Source organism: Homo sapiens, chromosome 9 (assembly GCF_000001405.40).
Source record: "Homo sapiens chromosome 9, GRCh38.p14 Primary Assembly".
Lineage (NCBI taxonomy): Eukaryota > Metazoa > Chordata > Mammalia > Primates > Hominidae > Homo > Homo sapiens.
Genome location: NC_000009.12, coordinates 137,590,988 through 137,611,913, shown reverse-complemented (window position 1 = coordinate 137,611,913; position 20,926 = coordinate 137,590,988). Strand labels below are relative to the sequence as shown.

Here is a 20,926-nt window from a genome sequence, read left to right as displayed (position 1 = left end):
TACCGGTGTGCCGAGCGCCCAGGGTCAGCCATACCTGCCTCACCTGTGGTCTCCCCAGCAGGCCCCACCTGTGGCCCAGGCCTTCTGCCTGCCACCCAGAGCAGCAGGATTCCTCTCACAATCCTTGGCTCAGCCGCAGCCCCACGTGGCTCTCCACATGCATCCTGCCTACCCCTCGGCAGCTGCCAGGCCCAGTCCCCCATCCCTGAGGGTGGCCCTTGCTTCCTGCTGCACGCCCTCTACCCCCGGGCGCTGCCAGGGCCTGTCCTCAGCCTCCATTCCAGCCCAGCCTTGCCACCCCAACCTCGGTCCATTTTTTGTTTTTTTGTTGTTGTTGTTGTTGTTGTTGTTTTTGAGACACGGTCTCACTCCCGCCGCCCAGGCTAGTGTGCAGTGGCACGATCTCGGCTCACTGCAGCCTTAACCTCCTGTGTTCAAGCGATCCACCCATCTCAGCCCCGCAAGTAGCTAGGACTACAGGCACGTGCCACCACACCTGGGTTTTGTTTTTTGTTTTTTGTTTTTCTTATAGAGACAGGGTTTTGCCATGCTGTCCAGGCTGGTCTCAAACTCCTAAGCTCAAGCAATCCACCTGCCTCAGCCTCCCAAAGTGTTGGGATTACAGGCATGAGCCACGGTACCCAGCTCTGCTCTGATTTTGAATCCATGCTCTGTTAGCCAGGCCCTCCTCGGGCCAGACCCCATACTGTGTTCATGCTGAAAATCCGGAACACCAGTAATCCTCCTGTGGACCAGCAGACAGCCCAACAGAAGCACATGGGCATGAGCAGGCACAGAGGAGGGTGGGCGTGGCTGAAGCAAGGAGAGGAGGCCTGGGGACTGGAAATGCTGCCGTGCTTTTAACACTCCTGACAGACTGCACATCCCCACCTTGAATCCCGCAAATGCTGGGACCCAGCTGGGTGCAGTGGCTCACACCTGTAATCCCAGCACTGTGGGAGGCCAAGGCGGGTGGATCACTTGAGGTCAGGAGTTCAAGACCAGCCTGGCTGACATGGTGAAACCCCATCTCTACTAAAAATACAAAAAAGGCCGGGCACGGTGGCTCATGCCTGTAATCCCAGCACTTCGGGAGGCCAAGGCAGGCAGATCACCTGAGGTCAGGAGTTCCAGACCAGCCTGACCGACATGGAGAAACCCCATCTCTACTAGAAATACGAAATTAGCTGGGCATGGTGGCACATGCCTGTAATCCCAGCTACCAGGGAGGCTGAGGCAGGAGAATCGCTTGAACCTGGGAGGCGGAGGTTGCAGTGAGCCGAGATCGCGCCACTGCACTCCAGCCTGAGCAACAAGAGTGAAACTCCATCTCAAAAAAAAAATACAAAAATTAGCCAGGCATGGTGGCACACGCCTGTAATCCCAGCTACTTGGGAGGCTGAGGCATGAGGATCACTTAAACCCAGGAGGCAGAGGTTGCAGTGAGCTGAGATCGCACAAATGCACTTTAGCCTGGGTGACAGAGCGAGACTTCATCTCAAAAAGAAAAAAAAAAGAAAAATGCTGGAACCCACAGAGGATGCCGGAAAGGGGGCAGTGGTCCCCAGACTAACCCGTATGCCAGCCAAGCACCCTCAAGTGATCCCAGCTGGTGGCACAGAACTGAAGATTAACCCTGCCCTCACTGTCCAGATTCCTAACCCACAACGCTGTGAGATATAATAAAATGGTTGTGTTAACTGTTTTAAGAATGGTGTCTGACTTGAGGTGACCGCGACTTTTACGTAGCAGTAGGTAACTGGAACAGATGTCCAACCTCACTAGAAATTACAGAAAACCCGGCCGGGCGCAGTGGCTCAGCCTGTAATCCCAGCACTGTGGGAGGCCGAGGCGGGCAGATCACGAGGTCAGGAGATCGAGATCATCCTGGCTGACACGGTGAAACCCCCGTCTCTACTAAAAATACAAAAAATTAGCCGGGTGTGGTGGCGGGCGCCTGTAGTCCCAGCTACTCAGGAGGCTGAGGCAGGAGAATGGCGTGAACCCGGAAGGTGGAGCTTGCAGGGAAAGCCCAAATGACCTACCATTTCAATCCATCAGATTGACAAATATTAAATGTCTCGACACAGCTGGGCGCAGTGGCTCACGCCTGTAATCCCAACACTTTGGGGGGCCAAGGCGAGCGGATTGCTTGAGGCCAGAAGTGTGACAGCAGCCTAGGTAACACGGTGAAACCCCATCTCTACCAAAACTACCAAAGATTAGCTGGGTGTGGTGGCGCGTGCCCCTGGTCCCAGTCACTCAGGAGGCTGTGGTGGGAGCCCCGGAGGAAGGAGTTGCAGTGAGCCAAGATTGTACCACTGCACTCCAGTCTGGGTGACAAAGTGAGACCTCATCTCAAATAAAATCAATGTCTTGGGGCCAGGCACAGTGGCTCACGCCTGTAATCCCAGCACTTTAAGAGGCTGAGGCGGGCGGATCACCTGAGGTTCGGAGTTCCAGGCCCGCCTGACCAACACGGAGAAACCCCGTCTCTACTAAAAATACAAAATTAGCCAGGCCTGGTGGCGCGTGCCTGTAGTCCCAGCTACTCGGGAGTCTGAGGCAGAAGAATCACTTGAACCAGGGAGGCAGAGGTTGCGGTGAGCAGCTGAGATTGCACCACTGCACTCCAGCCTGGGTAACAAGAGCAACGTAAATAAATAAATAAATAAATAAATGTCTCAACACACGTTGGAGGGAGGTGGAACACAAACACCCCTTATTCCAGTCAAACTGCAGACAAGTACGAGGTTCTGGCAAAGAGTGGGACAGGTCTACTGTAATTTTACCTGTGCATACCAGGAGACCCAGAATTCCGCTTAGAATCTCATGGTATTTAACCGGGAGCCTCACACGCCACTGCTCCTACTAGCAAAGCATCGCGAAAACCGTCATGGGACATTGACTCCACAAAAACAAACAGTATGCAACTGACCCTTGGGTCATCCTAAGGGTCCAGGTTCTGTGATCTTCCCAACGCCCATGCAGATGGCCCCGTTTTGCACATACACCAAGGCTCTTTGAGATGACTCTGCCAGAGTAAGCAGCCTCCAACCACTGTCCAAAGTGAAACCTGTCCCGAGCTGCCCCACACACTCCTCAGTAAGAACACGGGAGGCAAGGGGCTCCCGCACAGCTGCCAGCTGCTTCCCTGCCAAAACACCTGGAGCTGCTCCTCTGCCTCTCAGCAACTGCTTCAGGTCAGGCTGGGTGAATTTCCCAGGGAGCCCGTTTTCACTGGCCAGGCCAATGGCAGCGGCCATGTTTCTGCCTTTTCAAATCATCGAATCAGGCAGGACCACAGGATGCAGTTCTGCCCACGGAGAAGCCAGAGCAATACATGGGGTCCATTGTGAGGGGTCTCCCTGCTGCTGGCGGCATACGACCCCGCTCCCTCTTCTTTCCAGCTTGCAGACTGCTTGTGATGGCAGAACACGCTGAAGGGAACCGAGCCTTTCGCAACAGGAAAGCCACCAGGCAGGGCTTGGCTGCAGGACTGAGTGGCTCAGTGGCAGTCCCCTAGTCAGAGTGTGACTTCTTCCGCCTTCTGGACTTGAACGTTGCACCTCTTTGCAGGGGCCCTGCAAGCCCTGTCCCTCCTCCCCCATGCAGGTTTAAAAAATGTTTCCTGGCCAGGCACGGTGGCTCACGCCTGTAATCCCAGCACTTTGGGAGGCCGAGGCGGGCGGATCACGAGGTCAGGAGATCCAGACCCTCCTGGCTAACACGGTGAAACCCCGTCTCTACTAAAAATACACAAATTAGCCGGGTGTGGTGGCGGGCGCCTGTAGTCCCAGCTCTTAAGGAGGCTGAGGCAGGAGAATGGCGTGAACCGGGGAGGCGGAGCTTGCAGTGAGCCGAGATCGCGCCGGCACACTCCAGCCTGGGCGACAGAGGGAGACTCCGTCTCGAAAAAATAAATTAAAAAAATAAAAATAAAAAATGTTTCCTGTGTTCAGATGCACAAGCAAGGACAAGCTGCTGGAGGCTGCAGGCCTCTCTGACTCTAAGGAAGATCATGACTGGGCTGCGTTCTCAAGTGACCACTGGAACTTTCTTCTCCAGCTGGGGCTCCCACCTGTTCAGCAGCCCCTCCCTTGCACCACCTGCACTTGGACCATGAAGACCCACCCACTCCTCATCCTCATCCCAAAGGACTCACGCCTGCCACAGAAGCTGTGACCTGTAAGCCACTCCCCCAGTCCTGTTTCCAAATCTGTATCATGAGAGTAACAACCGTGCCACTTGCCAGGGCGCTGAGGGTTAACTGAGGCTGGCCCGTGGCACGTGGAGAGAATTGCATCGGGCCCACCATGAGTGCTCCGAGAACCACTGTCGGCCCTGGTCGCCCATCCCAGTAACAGCAGAACAAGAAGTGGTCCTGCCTGAACCCCAGCCCTGGACTGGGCCAGCCTGAGCTCCAGAAAACTGCTCCCTCCCAGGCCTCCCTCCGCGTCAGCCCTTTAGACAGCCGGTGTCCTCACGGCTGGGTGCTGACTGTCACCGACACTCATCGGCAGAGTAAGTGAGCAAGCTCTGGGGCCCAGGCAGGGCTGCTGTCCTCCTGGGGGCTGAGGGCCTCCCTACTGGCTCCTAGCAGGATTGACAAGCATCCTCTGAATGAGGAAAAGAAACCATGGTCCTTCTGTTCCCATCCCAGGCAGGGCTGGGGGAAACCCCCGGGGGCCCCGGTACACCCTCCCACCTCACTTGCAGCAGCCTGAATCATGTGCTCTCTGGCCCATCAGGGCCCATCTCCTACTCCTTAGCTCACGACCCTCCTTTTTCTCCCTCATTCAGACCAGCCTCTGTGAGGTAGGACCATCAGCCAGTGCTCCCTCGGCTCTTGGGCCAGCTGCCCAAAGTGCTGGGATTACAGGCGTGAGCATTCAACCCACCCACCACGTCCACCCGGAGGCCAGGGGAGCCTGCACACCCAGGCCAGTCACGCACCGCGGGGCCGTCCCTTCCCTGTGGTAAGCAATGGCCTGCTCACCCCAGGCCACGCCAGGGGAAGGACGACAGGGTCCTGCACAGCCCTCAACCAGGATCCAGCCGGCCTCACCACACACCACACCTGTACCCAAGAGATGTGTGTGCTATCTCTGCCCTGCCACGGCCACACCTGCCCCCACCCAGACCCCAAACTCAAGGTTGGGACAGAGGAAGGGAGGCTGTGGGGTCATCCCAGGAGGCCCAGTGGGGCCAGGAGCCTGACAGAAGCACCTACCACCCGGCTTCTTCCGAGGCCCCACAGCCTCAGGCGGTGCAGGGTCAGGGCCACAGCACCATCACCTGTCCCAGGAGGCTGAGAGGACAGAACAGAGACTGTGGGTTCTCAGCAGGCACAAAATCGGTGCTGTTACCCACGCGCGGGCCCAGCGGTCAAGGTCCAGCGGCAAGTCCAGGGGCTGTGGCACAGGCCAAGCAGCCCAGGTGGTTCCCACAGGAGGCCAAGGTAGAGAAGTCCCCGGCAGGGACGCGGCACTCACAGCCAAGGGCCGGGCAGAGGCAGCCTCACCTCGCGGGCCGGCCCTCACCTCCAGGGCGCCCTGCCAGCGGCCACTGCAGCAACCCGATACCCAGTCCCCGAGGCCCAGGCGTCCACCTCGGCGGGGGGCCGGCGAGGCCTGCTGGCGGGTGGCAGGGGGCGCAGGGAGCCGCAGCAGGTGTCTGCACCCCGCCGGGACCGCACGCCCGCGCCAGGAGCGGCTCTGCAGCGGGAGCGCCTGCGCCGGGAGCCAGGGTGCGGGAAGGAGCCCAGCAGGTGCGAGCGCGGACGGGGAGGGTCGCAGGCCTGCGTGCGCCCGCGCTCAGGGCGTCCTCCACAGTGGACCCGCTTCAGGCCCCGCCGGGACCCCGCCGCCCCTCGGCGAGAGGGCAGGAAGGGCAGACGCGGAAGGGCGGCGCCGCCCGGACCTCCCCGGCGCCGCCGAGCCCGCTTCCCAGCAGTCCCGGGCGGCGAAGACAGCGACTCCGCGGGCCCAACCCGGGGCCAGGCGACGGCAGCCGCTTCCGGGAGCCCTGGCCCCGCGCAGGTGCGGCCAAAGGCCCTCCCCGAGGACCCGCGCCCACCTCGGAACGGCAGCGGTGCCCCCAGGCGCACGCGCACGGTCCCAGCCAACGGCTCCCCGGGGCTGTAGACGACGCGGCCGTGGCTCAGGCTGATCTCGAAGAGCTGCACTCGCCCCATGCCGCGGCCTCACCGGCCAGCCGCGCAGCGACGCCCCCGCCCGCCGCCCGCGAGTCCCGGCTCCGAGGCCCGGCCCCGCCCCCTCCTATGCCCCGCCCCCATCCGTCCCAATCCCGGCCTCCACCCCCATCCGGCCCCTCCCAGGCCCTGCCCCGCCCCACGGCCCCGCCCAGCCCCCCGGCCGCCCCGTAGCCCGCGGACTGCCGCTCGGAGGCCCGGCCCAGCCCCTATTCCCCGCCCCATCCGTCCGTGTGGCCCCGCCCCCTCGTTATTCCCCGCCCCTCTGACAGCCTCCTCGCCCCGCCCCCGCCCTTCGCCCCTGCCTCGCCTTCCCAGCTCCGCCCCTGCCTCGGCCGCCCCACCCCTGCCCCGCCCCCCGGCCGCGCTCATCCATCCCCGGCCCTGGCCCTGTCCCGGCTGGGTAGGTGCTGCGCTGCGTCGGGCGCCGCTTAAGGGACTTGAGGCGCAAGCGTCCCGTGCGTCCCCCACGGAGGGAGTCACCGCCGCGTCTCCGTCGGGGGGCAGGGCTGGGGGCGGGGCCGAGGCGAGCTCTGAGACTGGGAAGGTCTCCCCGCTGCACTCTGCTGCGGGCAGAACCCACTCCTCCGCCCCCACCCTCCGCCCGTCCCGCCCAGGGGTCTCCCTCACCCCGAGTCGCGGAAAAACGTCACGGGGCCGCGCGGGCGTCCTGGGCGGGGATGCTCCGCCGCGTAGGACCTGCCCCGCCTCAACCCCCACCCCCGGCTCCTGCCCCGCACCCCCAACCTTCTCCGCACCTACCTCGCGTCCCAGCACCTGTCGCGCCCCTCCGGAACCTGCCCGCCCTCCCGCCTTCCCGGTACCTGCCTACCCCCGCAACTGTCCCGGCCCCCAACACCTGCATCGCCCAACCCCTTCCCCCCCCGCCCCCTGCCTTCCCCGCACCTGCCCGGAGTCCCAGCACCTGCCCCGCCCCCCGCTATCCCCCTCCTTGCTGGCCTGATGGGGTGTGGGCCCAAGGGAGCCACACTTGGGCGGAGGCCCTTGGGCAGGGGTCCGCAGCAGAAGGGTCGGGGGCCAGGTGGGGCGAGGACTTGGATCACTTGAAACCAGGAGGAACACACTCCCATTTATCTTTTTTAAAGGGTCCCTTTGTAGAGAGTGAGCCGCGGGGGGTGGGACTCAAATACCCAGGGGACCTAAGGCGGGAGAGACCGGTTGGGTAGTCCTGGAGAGGGAAGGCGTCGCTCGACAAGGACCAGCTCACCACGGAGTGGGTGTGCGGGCCCCAGTGCTGCGAGTTTTTCTAGGACAGCCGGTGAAGAGGGTGGCCTTCTCTGATGGGGAGGACGGACCTAGATACACATGGTTTGGGGGTGGGAGGGTCATCACATGCAGAGTCTGAGGTGCCACTGATCCCCAATGGACCAAGTACTTCCGTGCATGAGCCTGGGAGTCAAGCACTAAAATGTTGCCATCCCTAGTTGGTAGAAGGTAACAGGTCAGGGAGGAGGAGTCTGGCACCCCAGCAAAGAGAAAGGGGCTCACAGGCTGGAGGGGCCCCCGGGCCAGGCTGGGAGAGGCCCTGAAGCCCCAGGCCCAGCTCACTCCCTTAGGATTCCGATGTTTCCGGAGGTGGGTCTAACTGGCCATGCTCCAGACACTTTCCTGCCAAGGCTATGCACAGGCAGAATTCCCGAACAAGAGAGAAGGGTGCCATGGGATGGCAAGGATTGTGGACAGCCCTCCCGAATGGCAGTCGGCCATGCCAGAAGTCAGAAAGAAGGTGTTTCACCGGGCGCGGTGGCTCGCACCTCTAATCCCAGCACTTTGGGAGGCCGAGGTGGACGGATCACGAGGTCAGGAGATCGAGTCCATCCTGGCTAACATGGTGAAACCCCGTCTCTACTAAAAATACAAAAAGAAAAAAAAAAATTAGCCGGGCGTGGTGACAGGCGCCGTGGTCCCAGCTACTTGGGAGGCTGAGGCAGGAGAATGGCGTGAATCCAGGAGGCGGAGCTTGCAGTGAGCCAAGATCACGCCACTGCACTCCAGCCTGGGCAACAGAGTGAGACTCCATTTCAAAAAAAAAAAACAGAAAAAGAAAAAAAAGAAAGTGTTTCAAGCAAGGGACAGACAGACTGTATTGCAAGCTACTGAGATGGAAGACAATGGACACAGAACACAGGTGGCCTTTATCCCAGGTCAGCCACAATCTAAGCCCCACAGGACTCTGCACATCCTTGATTCTGACCCTATCTCCCACCCATCCTGTGTTCCAGAAACCACCACCAGCACCAACCGCCCTGTCATTAGACTCTTCTTCTCCAAGCATACTTCTAGCTGCACTCTCATGAAAACCTGGCTTCCCCTGGAGCTTTCGGGTGTAGAGATATCTTTTCGCAGGATCCCTCTACCTCTGGGTCTGTAGGTGGGGTTGGGGCCCTCCTGGCTCCTTCCTAACACTACCAGGCCATTCTCCACCCTGGGAGCTACCATGTGTAAGCTTCCTGGTCTCAGAATCACCAGCACCACCTTCGCTCTGGTCGGCATCTTCATTTCTTGGTGATTTTAGCTCCTAACTCACTGTCATTCCCTCCATCTCCAAGTGTGGAAACTCAGTGCTTCTGAATCCACACAGGCAATCCTTCCAGCCTCCTGCCCTATATCCTAAAAGTACCTGGGTTTTGTTTGAATCAGGTATAGTAAAGTGACAGACTAGAAGACAAGTGCCACAAAGGAAGGATTTAGTACTCGTGGTTCTCAGGAGGAGGGGCCCTGCCATGCCACGCAGGGCCAGAAGGGGAAGTACCAGGGTCAGGAGGAGCCAGGAGAGAGCATGACCCAGAGCCTTTTTTGTGTTTTCCTCAGGGTGAAAATGGACAAGGCAGGGTAGGTAAGTGTGAGCAAGTTTAGGATTAGATAGCTTGAATCATGTCAGCAGACTCTAGGTCACAGCAGGGGGCTCTAGCCGTCTGGTATCTGTCCCTGGGGGATGCAGGGCAGGAGAAATGCTGGCTTGGGGTGTGAGAGTCAGATCAGGAAGAGACTGGGGATATGGGCTCTGGATTGGTGTTTATAAAGTTGTTTGCTAGCTCTGGGGATTAGCCAGCCCTGGAAGGGGCAGCATCTCCCTGACTAGTAAAGCCCCCAAGATGTCAAAGCATAATAACATACAGAAAAGGAAAAGTGTGGGCCGGGCGCAATGGCTCTGCCTGTAATCCCAGTACATTGGGAGGCCGAGGTGGGCAGATCACCTGAGGTCAGGAGTTCAAGACCAGCCTGGTCAACATGGTGAAATCCCATCTCTACTAATAATACAAAAAAAATCAGCCGGGCATGGTGGTGGCACACGCCCGTAATCCCAGCTACTCGGGAGGCTGAGATAGGAGAATCGCTTGAACCCAGGAGGTGGAGGTTGCAGTGAGCCAAGATTGGGCCATTGCACTCCAGCCTGGGCGACAAGAGTGAAACTACATTTCAAAAAAAAAAAAAAAAAGGAAGGGAGGGAGGGAAAAGAAAAGTGTGGTAAACACGTGTCAGTCTCATGGTTCCTCCTCCAAAACCCTCCTCTACCTCAGCAGTCTCCTTCCTAGGGCGTGGTGGTCCCTCCTCAAAGATCCCGCCCACCTTTGCATCCCTGCTGCTCTTCCCACCGGGGGGCTTCCCCTGGAACCTAGGCTGGCCCACAGCTTGCGTTAACTGGAAGAATTGCAATGAAACAGGCTGGGCGCAGTGGTCCATGCCTGTAATCCCAGCACTTTGGGAGGCCGAGGCGGGCAGATCGCTTGAGATCAGGAGATCAAGACCAGCCTGGCCAACATGGTGAAACCTCATCTCTACTAAAAATACAAAAATTAGCCAGGCGTGGTGGCACGTGCCTGTAATCCCAGCTACTCAGGAGGCTGTGGCAGGAGAATCACTTGAGCTCGGCGGGGGAGGTTGCAGTGAGCTGAGATCACGCCACTGCACTCCAGCCTGGGTGACAGAGTGAGACTTCATCTCAAAATCAAACAAAACAAAAACAGTCAAGGCTGGGTGTAGTGGCTCACATCTGTAATCCCAGCACTTTGGGAGGCTGAGGCGGGTGGATCACAAGGTCAAGAGATCGAGACCATCCTAGCCAACATGGAGAAACTTCACCTCTATTAAAAATACAAAAATTAGGCCGGGTGTGGTGGCTCACGCCTGTAATCCCAGCACTTTGGGAGGCCGAGGCGGGTGGATCACAAGGTCAGGAGATCGAGACCATCCTGGCTGACATGGTAAAACCCCATCTCGACTGAAAATACAAAAAATTAGCCGGGCGTGGTGGCGGGTGCCTGTAGTCCCAGCTACTCGGGAGGCTGAGGCAGCAGAATGGTGTGAACCCGGGAGGCGGAGCTGGCAGTGAGCCGAGATCGCGCCACTGCACTCCAGCCTGGGTGACAGAGCAAGACTCCATCTCAAAAAAAAAAAAAAAAAAAAAAAAAAAAAAAATATATATATATATATATATATATATATATATATATATATATATATATATAAATTAGCTGGGCGTGGTGGCACGTGCCTGTAGTCCCAGCTACTCGGGAGGCTGAGGCAGGAGAATTGCTTGAACCCGGGAGGTGGAGGTCGCAGTGAACCAAGATTGCGCCACTGCACTCCAGCCTAGTGACAGAGCGAGACTCCATCTCAAAACAAACAACACAAACAAAAAAAGAAAGTCATAGGAGCAACACACATTCACGTGGAGGGGAGAATTTGATGGTGACAATTGACACAACCTACCACCCTAGCCAACAACAGCAGAACCAACCAGCTAAGCCCATCCTAAACTACAGAATCATGAGAAAATACATAGTTGTTTAAAGCCACTAAGTTTTGGGGTGGTTTATTATTATTATTATTATTATTATTATTATTATTATTATTTTTGAGACAGTCTCACTCTGTCGCCCTGGCTGGAGTGAAGTGGTGCGATCTCGGCTCACTCCAATCTCCACCTCCTGGGTTCAAGCAATTCTCCTGCCTCAGCCTCTCCAGTAGCTGGGACTACAGGCACCCATGACCATGCCCAGCTAATTTTCATATTTTTAGTAGAGACGGGGTTTTGCCATGTTGGCCAGGCTGGTCTTGAACTCCTGACCTCAGGTGATCCGCCCACCTCAGCCTCCCAAAGTGCTGGGATTACAGGCGTGAGTCACCGCGCCTGGCCTGGGGTGGTTTGTTATGAAGCAATAGATATAATTGGAACAGAAATTGGTGCTCAGAAGTGAGATACTGCCATAATTTTTTTTTTTTTTTTTTTTTTTTTTAGACGGAGTCTCGCTCTGTCGCCCAGGCTGGAGTGCAGTGGCATGATCTCTGCTCACTGCAAGCTCCACCTCCCGGGTTCACGCCATTCTCCTGCCCCAGCCTCCCAAGTAGCTGGGACTACAGGCGCCTGCCACCACACCTGGCTAATTTTTTGTATTTTTAGTAGAGATGGGGTTTCACCATGTTAGCCAGGATGGTCTCGCTCTCCTGATCTTGTGATCTGCCCACCTCAGCCTCCCAAAGTGCTGGGATTACAGGTGTGAGCCACTGTGACCGGCCTTCTTTTTTTTTTTATTTTTTTATTTTGAGACAGAGTCTCACTGTCTCACCCAGGCTGCAGTGCAGTGATGCACTCTCAGCTCACTGCAACCTCTGCCTCCCAGGTTCAAGAGATTCTCCCGCCTCAGCCTCCCGAGTAGCTGGGACTACAGGCACCCACCACCATGCCCAGCTAATTTTTGTACCTTTAGTAGAGACGGGATTTCACCATATTGGCCAGGCTGGTCTCAAACTCCTGACCTTGTGATCCACCTGCCCCAGCCTCCCAAAGTGCTGAGATTACAGGCATGAGCCACTGCGCCAGGCCAACACTGCAACCTCCGCCTCCCGGGTTCAAGCGATTCTCCTGCCTCAGCCTCCCCAGTAGCGGGGATTACAGGCATGCAACACCATGCCCGGCTTATTTATTTATTTATTTATTTATTGAGACATAGTCTTGCTCTTGTCACCCAGGCTGGAGAGCAGTGGCACAATCTCAGCTCACTGCAACCTCTACCTCCCGGGTTCAAGTAATTCTCCTGCCTCAGCCTCCTGAGTAGCTGGGACTGCAGGCATGTGCCACCACGCCCAGCTAATTTTTTTTTTTATTTTTAGTTGAGATGGGGTTTTACCATGTCAGTCAGGATGGTCTCGATCTCTTGACCTTGTGATCCCCCCATCTCGGCCTCCCAAAGTGCTGGGATTACAGGCGTGAGCCACCATGCCCTGACAATTTTGTATTTTTTTTAGTAGAGATGGGGTTTCTCCATGTGGGTCAAGCTGGTCTCGAACACCTGACCTCAGGTGATCTGCCCATCTCAGCCTCCCAAAGTGCTGGGATAACAGGTGTGAAACACTGCGCCTGGCCCCAAAAATTTTTAAATATGGCGTTGACTTTGGAACCATGCAGCAGGAGGGGTCATGAGAAAGTTGCTATTGCAGGCTGGAGAAAGTGTAGACTATTTACCTTCCAGCAAGACCATTGCCTGTGGAACGTGGCGGACAGAAAGTGCATGCTGTGATCTGACTTTCCTGACATAGAGTTTAAAGGGCCAATTGACTTCTTTCAGTTATTTATGAGAAAGTGAAAGTAACAAAAGAAAGATGATCTGAATAAACTCTCTTGGCCCGGCACAGTGTCATACGCCTCTAATCCCAATGCTTTGGGAGGCCAAGGCAGGAGAATTGCTTGACCCCAGGAGGTCTAGGCTGCAGTGAGCCGTATTTGCACCACCGCACTAAAGCCTGGGAGACAGAGGGGGACCCTTTCACCCCAGAAAAAAAAGAACTTCCCCAAACTCCCACCAACACACCTACTAGCCTTTCTAGAACCTTCACATTGGCTACTGCCAAGGTGCACCGCCCTGTCCGACACAGCTCGTCATCCCCTCTCCTCTGCAGCCAATGCCTCATCCCTTTCCACCATCGTCCCCATGGGTGAACATCAGTGCCATGTCCCCTGCACCACGAATGTGCTCCTGACCTCCCCCCTCTTCCAGCCTCAGCTCCCTTCACTGCTCCTTTTCAGCAAAATGCTGCAGAAGAGCCGTCCATCTCAGCCTGCAACTCCTGTCCCTCATTCCTTCCGACACCCTTGGACATCTTCCCTCACCCCTCCACTGGCACTGTACTTCTCAAGGTAACGGGGGTCCCCTGTGTTGCTAAATCCATTGATTCATCCCCAATCTTCACTTTACCAGACCCAGCAGCAGCTGGGGCTGCCTTGCAGGCCTTCCTCCTACTTCACATCTTTGTTTTCTACTGAGTCCTCTTCTTTCCAATCTCTTTCCCCCTTAGTATGATAGTATTAAGTATCCCTTCTCTTTTTTTAAATGATACTCAATCTAGCATTTTAAAGAAATGTAATGTGCATTTTTTGCTGTTATAGTCATAATACATAAACTTCAATAAATACCATAGAACTTTTAAAAACTAAAAATTAACTTCCCGGCCGGGCGCGGTGGCTCATGCCTGTAATCCCTGCACTTTGGGAGGCTGAGGCGGGCGGATCACGAGGTCAGGAGATCAAGACCATCCTGGCTAACATGGTGAAACCCCGACTCTACTAAAAATACAAAAAATTAGTGGCGGGCACCTGTAGTCCCAGCTACTCCGGAGGCTGAGGCAGGAGAATGGTGAGAACCTAGGAGGCGGAGCTTGCAGTGAGCAGAGAGCGTACCACTGCACTCCAGCCTAGGCAACAGCAAGACTCTGTCTCAAAAAATAATAATAATAATAATAATAATAATAACTTCCCATACTTTTCTGATAAAGATTACAACATACTTCAAGCACATGACTGTTTTTACTTAAAAAGTGAGTTTTATCTTTTTCTTGTTTACTTCACATACTACACTGATGTAAATATCCTTTTAAAAATTTTATTTTGGCCGGGCGCGGTGGCTCACGCCTGTAATCCCAGCACTTTGGGAGGCCGAGGCGGGCGGATCACGAGGTCAGGAGATCGAGACCATCCCGGCTAAAACGGTGAAACCCCGTCTCTACTAAAAATACAAAAAATTAGCCGGGCGTAGTGGCGGGCGCCTGTAGTCCCAGCTACTTGGGAGGCTGAGGCAGGAGAATGGCGTGAACCCAGGAGGCGGAGCTTGCAGTGAGCCGAGATCCCGCCACTGCACTCCAGCCTGGGCGACAGAGCGAGACTCCATCTCAAAAAAAAAAAAAAAAAAAAAAAAAATTATTTATTGAATGTAAACTTTTATTATTTTTTTGGATATAGTATCTTCCTCTGTCGCCCAGGCTGGAGTGCAGTGGCATGATCTTGGCTCACTGCAACTTCTGGGTTCAAGGGATTCTCATGCTGCAGCCTCCCAAGTAGCTGGGATTACAGGTGCCTGCCAGCACACCTGGTTAATTTTTGTATTTTTAGTAGAGATGGGGTGTCTCCATGTTGGTCAAGCTGGTCTCGAACTCCTGACCTCAGGTGATCCGCCCTCCTCGGCCTCCCAAAGTGCTGGGATTACAGGTGTGAGTCACCGCCCTGGCCCTAATTTTTGTTTTTTTAGTAGAGGTTTACAAACAGGTTTCTGCCATGTTGGCCAGACTGGTCTTGAACTCCTGACCTCAGGTGATCCACCCACCTCGGCCTCCCAAAGTGCTGGGATTACAGGTGTGAGCCACCACACCCGGCCTAACTTTAAACTTTTACTTTAGGTTTGGGGATATGTGAGGTTTGTTACATAGGTAAACACCTGTCACCAGGTTTGTTGTACATATTATCTCATCATCCAGGCATTAAGCCCAGTATTATTTTCTTCTTCGTGTTCATAAGCTCTCATCATTTAGCTCCCACATGTAAGTGAGAACATGTGGTATTTGGTTTTCTGTTCCTGTGTTAGTTTGCTAAGGATGATCGCCTCCAGCTCCATCCATGTTCCCACAAAAGACATGCTCTCATTTTTTTATAGCTGCATAGTATTCCATGGTGTATATGTACCACAGCTTTTTTTTTTTTTTTTTTTTTTTTTGAGACTGAGTCTCGCTCTGTCGCCCAGGCTGGGGTGCAATGGCGCAATCTCGGCTCACTGCAACCTCCACCTCCTGGACTCAAGCGATTCTCCTGCCTCAGCCTCTCAAGTAGCTGGGATTACAGGCACACACCATCACGCCCAGCTAATTTTTGTATTTTTAGTAGAGATGGGGTTTCACCATGTTGGCCAGGCTGGTCTTGTACTTCTGACCCCAGGTGTTCCACCCGCCTCAGCCGCCCAAAGTGCTGGGATTACAGGCGTAAGCCACTGTGCCCGGCTGTACCACATTTTCTTTATCCAATCTGTCACTGATGGGCATTTAGGTTTTTGTTTGTTTGTTTGAGATGGAGTCTCACTCTGTAGCCCAGACTAGACTGCAGTGGTGGCATGATCTTGGCTCACTGCAACCTCCACCTCCCGGATTCAAGTGATTCTCCTGTCTCAGCCTCCCAACTACCTGGGATTACAGGCAACTGCCAGTACACCCAGCTAATTGTATTTTTAGTAGAGATGGGATTTCACCATGTTGGCCAGGCTGGTCTCGAACTCCTGACCTCAGGTGATCTGCCTGCCTCGTCCTCCAAAAGTGCTGGGATTACAGGCCTGAGCCACCGGGCTGGCCAGCATTTAGGTTGATTCCATGTCTTTGCTCTTGTGAATAGTGCTGCACTCTCTACATCCACGTTTTCCCTCATGGTAATCTCATCCAGTTTTATGAGTTTTGCCATGGTTTGAATGCTTGTGTCCCTCCAAAATTCAGGGTCTCACTCTGTCACCCAGGCTGGAGGGCAGTGGCCCCATCACAGCTCACTGCATCCTCAACATCCCCAGGCTCAGGTGATCCTTCCACCCCAGCCTCCCAAGTAGCTGTGACTACAGGCATGGGCCACTATGCCTGGCTAATTTTTGTTTTTTGTAGAGACAGCATCTTGCCATGTTGCCCAGCCTGGTCTCAAACTCCTGGGCTCAAGCGATCCACCAACCTCAGCCTCCCAAAGTGCAGGGATTACAGGTGTGAGCCACTGCACCTGTCTCTAAGAGAGCTTTAAATATAATAAATGTGCTAATGATGCCAAACTTTTTTTTTGTTTTTTTGAGACAGAGTCTCACTCTATTGCCCAGGCTGGAGCGCAACGGCATGATCTTGGCTCACTGCAACCTCTGCCTCCCAGGTTCAAGTCATTCTCCTGCCTCAGCCTCCCGAGTAGCTGGGAATACAGGTGCGCACCACCACATCCGGCTAATTTTTGTATTTTTAGTAGAGACAGGGTTTCACCATGTTGGCCAAGCTGGTCTTGAACTCCTGACCTCGTGATCTGCCCGCCTCGGTCTCCCAAAATGCTGGGAGTACAGGCGTGAGCCACCGCGCTCAGCCATGATGCCAAACTTATATTCCCAGGCTGGACATCTCTGTGAACTCTATACTCACATATTCTACTTATACATTCAACTGCCTTGTAACCTTAACATGTAGCATAAGTAACACATTTTTATTTGGCTAAGCCGCTGAGAACTTGGGGTTGTTACTGCAGCATACCCAGGCCCATCCTGACATACACACCCCTCCACCACAGGTCCAAACATCACCACTTACCAGGAGAGGTCGAGTGTCCCTTATCCAAAATGCTCGGGACTAGAAGTGTTTCAGATTTTGGATTTTGGACTCTTTGTATTATACTTGCCTGATGGCGCTTTCCATATCCAAAATCCAAAATGCTCCAATGAGCACTTCCTTTGAGTGTCATGTCAGTGCTTACAAGGTTCAGATTTTGCAGCATCTCAGATTTCAGATCTGAATGCTCATCCTGTACTTGCCGCCCCTCCCGCCGCCCCATGTGCTGCTGCTTCTCAGTGGCCAGTTCATTGGCCACCTCTCCATTTTCTTTCGAGACGAAGTCTTGCTCTGTCGCCCAGGCTGTAGTGCAGTGGCGTGATCTAGGCTCACTGCAAGCTCCACCTCCCAGGTTCAGGCCATCCATTTTCTTTCATGACAGAGTCTTGCCCTGTTGCCCAGGTTGGAGTGCAGTGGAGTGATCTCAGCTCACTGCAACCTCTGCCTCCTGGGTTCAAGCGATTCTCCTGCCTCAGCCTCCCGAGTAGCTGGGATTACAGGCATGTGCCACCACACCTGGCTAATTTTTGTATTTTTAGTAGAGACAGGGTTTTGCCCTGTTGGCCAGGTTGGTGTTGAACTCCTGGCCTCAAGTGATCCACCCACCCCGGCCTCCCAAAGTGAGCCACCACACCCAGCCCCACCTCTCTATTTTCAAACATGCCAGACATGTCGCAGCTTAGGGCCTTTGCACAGGCCGTTCCTTCTGCCAAGAATGTTCTGCCCTGTATAGCCACACGGCTCACTCTGTCTCCTTCCACTGCAAGTTCCAATGCTGTTTTCTCAGAGGACGGCTCTGCCCACCCCTGCAGCAGGGCCTCTGACTGCCTTATGGTGATGGACTTGTTCTCCCCATTGCACTTCTCACTGGCCAACGCGGTGTATGGTTCCTCATTACGTGTATGTTCTGCCCCCCTCACTCGAGTATGAGCAGGGGCTTTCATTGATTTTGTTCATTGGTGTGGAGCAGTTTCAGCAGTGGGAGGGGTGAAAGCCCAGCTGGAGTGGGCTGTCAGGAGACTTGGGCGGTAGGCAGAATGCCCCCCAAAGGTGTCACGCCCTTATGCCTGCGCCTGTAATATTATGTTACATAACAAAAGGGACTTTGCAGATGTAAGTAGGTTACCAATTAGTGACCTTAAAATAGGGAGATTATCCTGTTTATCTGGGTGGACCCAATCTAATCACAGGAACACTTAAAGGCATAAAGCTTTCTCCAGCTGAAGGTGGGAGAAATGGGACAGAAAGGATCAAAGACGTGAAGTAGTAGAAAGGCTGGCTTTGGCCGGGCACAATGGCTCACACCTGTAATCCCAGCATTTTGGGAGGCTGAGGCGGGCGGATCACTTGAAGCCGGGAGTTCAAGACTAGCCTGGCTGGCATGGTGAAACCATGTCTACTAAAAATTTAAAAATTAGCTGGGCATGGTGGAGGGCACCTGTAGTCCCAGCTACTCGGGAAGCTGAGGCAGGAGAATCACTTGAACCCGGGAGGCGGAGGTGGCAGCGACCCGAGATTGTACCACTGCACTCCGGCCTGGATGACGAAGCCAGACTCTGTCTAAAAAGAAAAGAAAGTCTTGCTGGTTTTGAAGATGTGAGCGACCTCTAGAAGCTGAGAACAACCCCGGGCCGGCAGCCAGCAAGCGGAGACCTCATACAACCATGTGATGAATGTCAACAACCTGAAGGAGCCTGTAGCCCGGGTCTCCCCTAGGGCCCCTGCTAAGAGCTGAGGCAGCTGACACCCTGATTTCAGCCCTGAGACCTGCAGCAGAGAAGCCAGTCAAACCCACCTGCACTTCTAATGCACAGAACCGTGAGATAATGGGTGCTCTTTTGTGGTTGGTTGTTATAAAGTGATAGAAAACGAATTAACTAGGAGATAAGAGGAGACGCCAAGTACAGACAACCTGTTAAAAACTCTTGCTGGGATGGGAAGTAGGAAAATGAGGCAGTGGCTGGAAAGGGATGGGGGAGTCAAGGGCTTCTTTTTAAGGTGCCTGCCCCTGGGAGAGGGAAGCTGCAGTGAGAGGAAGCACCGCCCCAGCGTTACATAATTCCACCCTCGCAGGACACAGAGGCAGGGGTGCCACATTCATACTTGGGTAGAATGTGTAGATAAAGCAGCCGGCTTGTGGTGGACCAGGTATGAGTTCCCAAGCCAGCTGGGCACTGCCCGCAGCACTGCGCTGTGTCAACACCTGCAGGTCTTTCTCGGCTTTGGAGCCAAGAAGTCACCTTGCCAGGAACAGCCTCCAACCAATGACTGCAAGGTGAGAGGTGAATGCTGGGTCCCCTTGCAGCAGGGTGAAGGGTGAATGCCTTGGCTCCCCTGGCCCTCGGGGAGGGACTCTGAGGATGGTTCCTACACAAGCGCCTGCTACAGTAACTGGACTGGTAGCACCCCCTTCCCTGCCTCACACCCCTACTCTCCTGCTGGTGTCTCCTGGGGTCTTCTCTCAAGCTAACAATTTGGACTTTTTTTTTTTTTTGACGGAGTTTCACTCTGTTGCCCAGACTGGAGTGTGGTGGCACAATCTTGGCTCACTGCAACCTCTGCCTCCTGGGTTCACGCGATGTTCCTGCCTCAGCCTCCCAAGTAGCTGGGAATACAAGTGTGTGCCACCACATCCGCTAATTTTTGTATTTTTAGTAGAAACGGGATTTCACCCTGTTGGCCAAGCTGGTCTTGAACTCCTGACCTCAGGTGATCCACTTGCCTCGGCCTCCCAAAGTGCTGGGATTACAGGTATGAGCCACCAGGCCCGGACAAAATTTGGACTCGAATCCATTTCAAGTCAACCTCTGGGGGAACCTGGACTATGACACCAGTGCTTTTCAACTACCCTAGGGAGCACCCACCAAGCTCCACTTCTTTTCACAAAGCAGTTGCTCATAATCTCATCACACCCTTGCAACTCCATGAGGTTGAGATTGGTAGGGCAGGTACTTTTTTTTTTTTTTTTGAGACGGAGTCTCGCTCTGTCGCCCAACCTGGAGTGCAGTGGCACGATCTCGGCTCACTGCAAGCTCTGCCTCCCGGGTTCAAGCCATTCTCTTGCCTCAGCCTCCCAAGTAGCTGGGACTACAGGCACCCGCCACCACGCCCGGCTTTTTTTTTTGTATTTTTAGTAGAGGTGGGGTTTCACCGTGTTAGCCAGGATGGTCTCCAGCTCCTGACCTCGTGATCTGCCCGCCTCGGCCTCCCAAAGTGCTAGGATTACAGGCATGAGCCACCGCGCGCGGTCGGACAGGCATGTTTTGAGCAAGGCCCAGCCTGAACCCCAATGTGTGTCTCAGGCAGGCCAGGACTCATCAGCCCCTTCAGTCCTCTAGGGTGTCTGGGGTACTGGCAAGTACCAGGGGACCCAGAGATGGAACGTCTGGGCTCACTCATGTACACCCTTTGCAGGCTGGGGCACGGTGGCTCATGCCTGTAATCCCAGCACTTTGGGAGGCCGAGGTGGGCCGATCACCTCAGGTTGGGAGTTCGAGACCATCCTGGCCAATATGGAAAAACCTCACTTCTACTAAAAATACAAAAATTAGCCGGACATGGTGGCGCGTGCCTGTAGTCCCAGCTACTCGGGAGGCTGAGGCAGGAGAGTCGCTTGAACCCGAGAGGCAGAGGCTGCAGTGAGCCGAGATCGTGCCACTGCACTCTAGCCTGGGTGACAGAGCAAAACTCTGACTCAAAAAAAAAAAAAAAAAAAGCAAGAAAAGAAAACGGAACCCAGCAAGCCAGAAAGGAGCCTGTGCAGCTCCTCAGGTGCAGGAGTCGCCCTTGAGGCAGGGTGAGGCCTCCTCACGGGCGACTGGACACCGGCGGAGCAGGACGCAGGACCTAGCCCCGTTCGCTCCAGGCTGCAGGGGAGCCACGCTGCCCACCACGGCGTACCCAGTCCCTCCCTGAGCGGGTCTCGGCTTTCCCGCGGAGCCTAATGGGCCTCACTGGAGTTCCGTTTCCAGACGCCTTGGACCAGGCTGCTCTGGAGGTCAGCCGCCCCCGAGGCTGAAGAGCCGGCGGCTCGGAGAAGGCTGCGCGGGAGGCCGCGCCCTCCGGGTCGCGTGGGCCGGGCGTCCGCTGTCT

The 20,926-nt window shown here is 55.1% G+C and overlaps 1 protein-coding gene and 1 long non-coding RNA gene across 6 annotated transcripts in view, besides 3 other annotated features; one reads left to right on the top strand and one right to left on the bottom strand.

Moving 5' to 3' along the window:
- Window positions 1–6,228, bottom strand: part of ARRDC1 (arrestin domain containing 1) — a 9,675-nt gene extending 3,447 nt beyond the window's left edge. For all 4 annotated transcript variants that reach the window (XM_005266119.2, XM_047424069.1, NM_001317968.2 and 1 more), the window contains exon 1: window positions 6,079–6,228. In XM_005266119.2, coding sequence (XP_005266176.1) covers window positions 6,079–6,196 — 118 coding nt within the window. In that variant the 5' untranslated portion in view covers window positions 6,197–6,228. The remainder of the gene's footprint in view (window positions 1–6,078) is intronic.
- Window positions 5,557–5,826: a silencer, noted in NCBI's record as "silent region_20635". NCBI's record gives its function as "represses an Ori minimal core promoter by ATAC-STARR-seq in GM12878 lymphoblastoid cells {active_cell/tissue: GM12878}" and the evidence as "EXISTENCE:reporter gene assay evidence [ECO:0000049][PMID:35858748]".
- Window positions 5,837–6,966: a silencer, noted in NCBI's record as "silent region_20634". NCBI's record gives its function as "represses an Ori minimal core promoter by ATAC-STARR-seq in GM12878 lymphoblastoid cells {active_cell/tissue: GM12878}" and the evidence as "EXISTENCE:reporter gene assay evidence [ECO:0000049][PMID:35858748]".
- On the top strand, window positions 6,576–20,875 carry LOC124902318 (uncharacterized). Of its 2 annotated transcripts, none has more exons than XR_007061885.1 (3): window positions 6,576–6,617; window positions 19,044–19,109; window positions 20,806–20,875. It is a non-coding gene; the product is annotated as an uncharacterized LOC124902318 (long non-coding RNA). The 2 variants fall into 2 exon arrangements; XR_007061884.1 differs by lacking the exon at window positions 6,576–6,617 and adding an exon at window positions 18,385–18,652.
- Window positions 20,857–20,926: a silencer, noted in NCBI's record as "silent region_20633". NCBI's record gives its function as "represses an Ori minimal core promoter by ATAC-STARR-seq in GM12878 lymphoblastoid cells {active_cell/tissue: GM12878}" and the evidence as "EXISTENCE:reporter gene assay evidence [ECO:0000049][PMID:35858748]".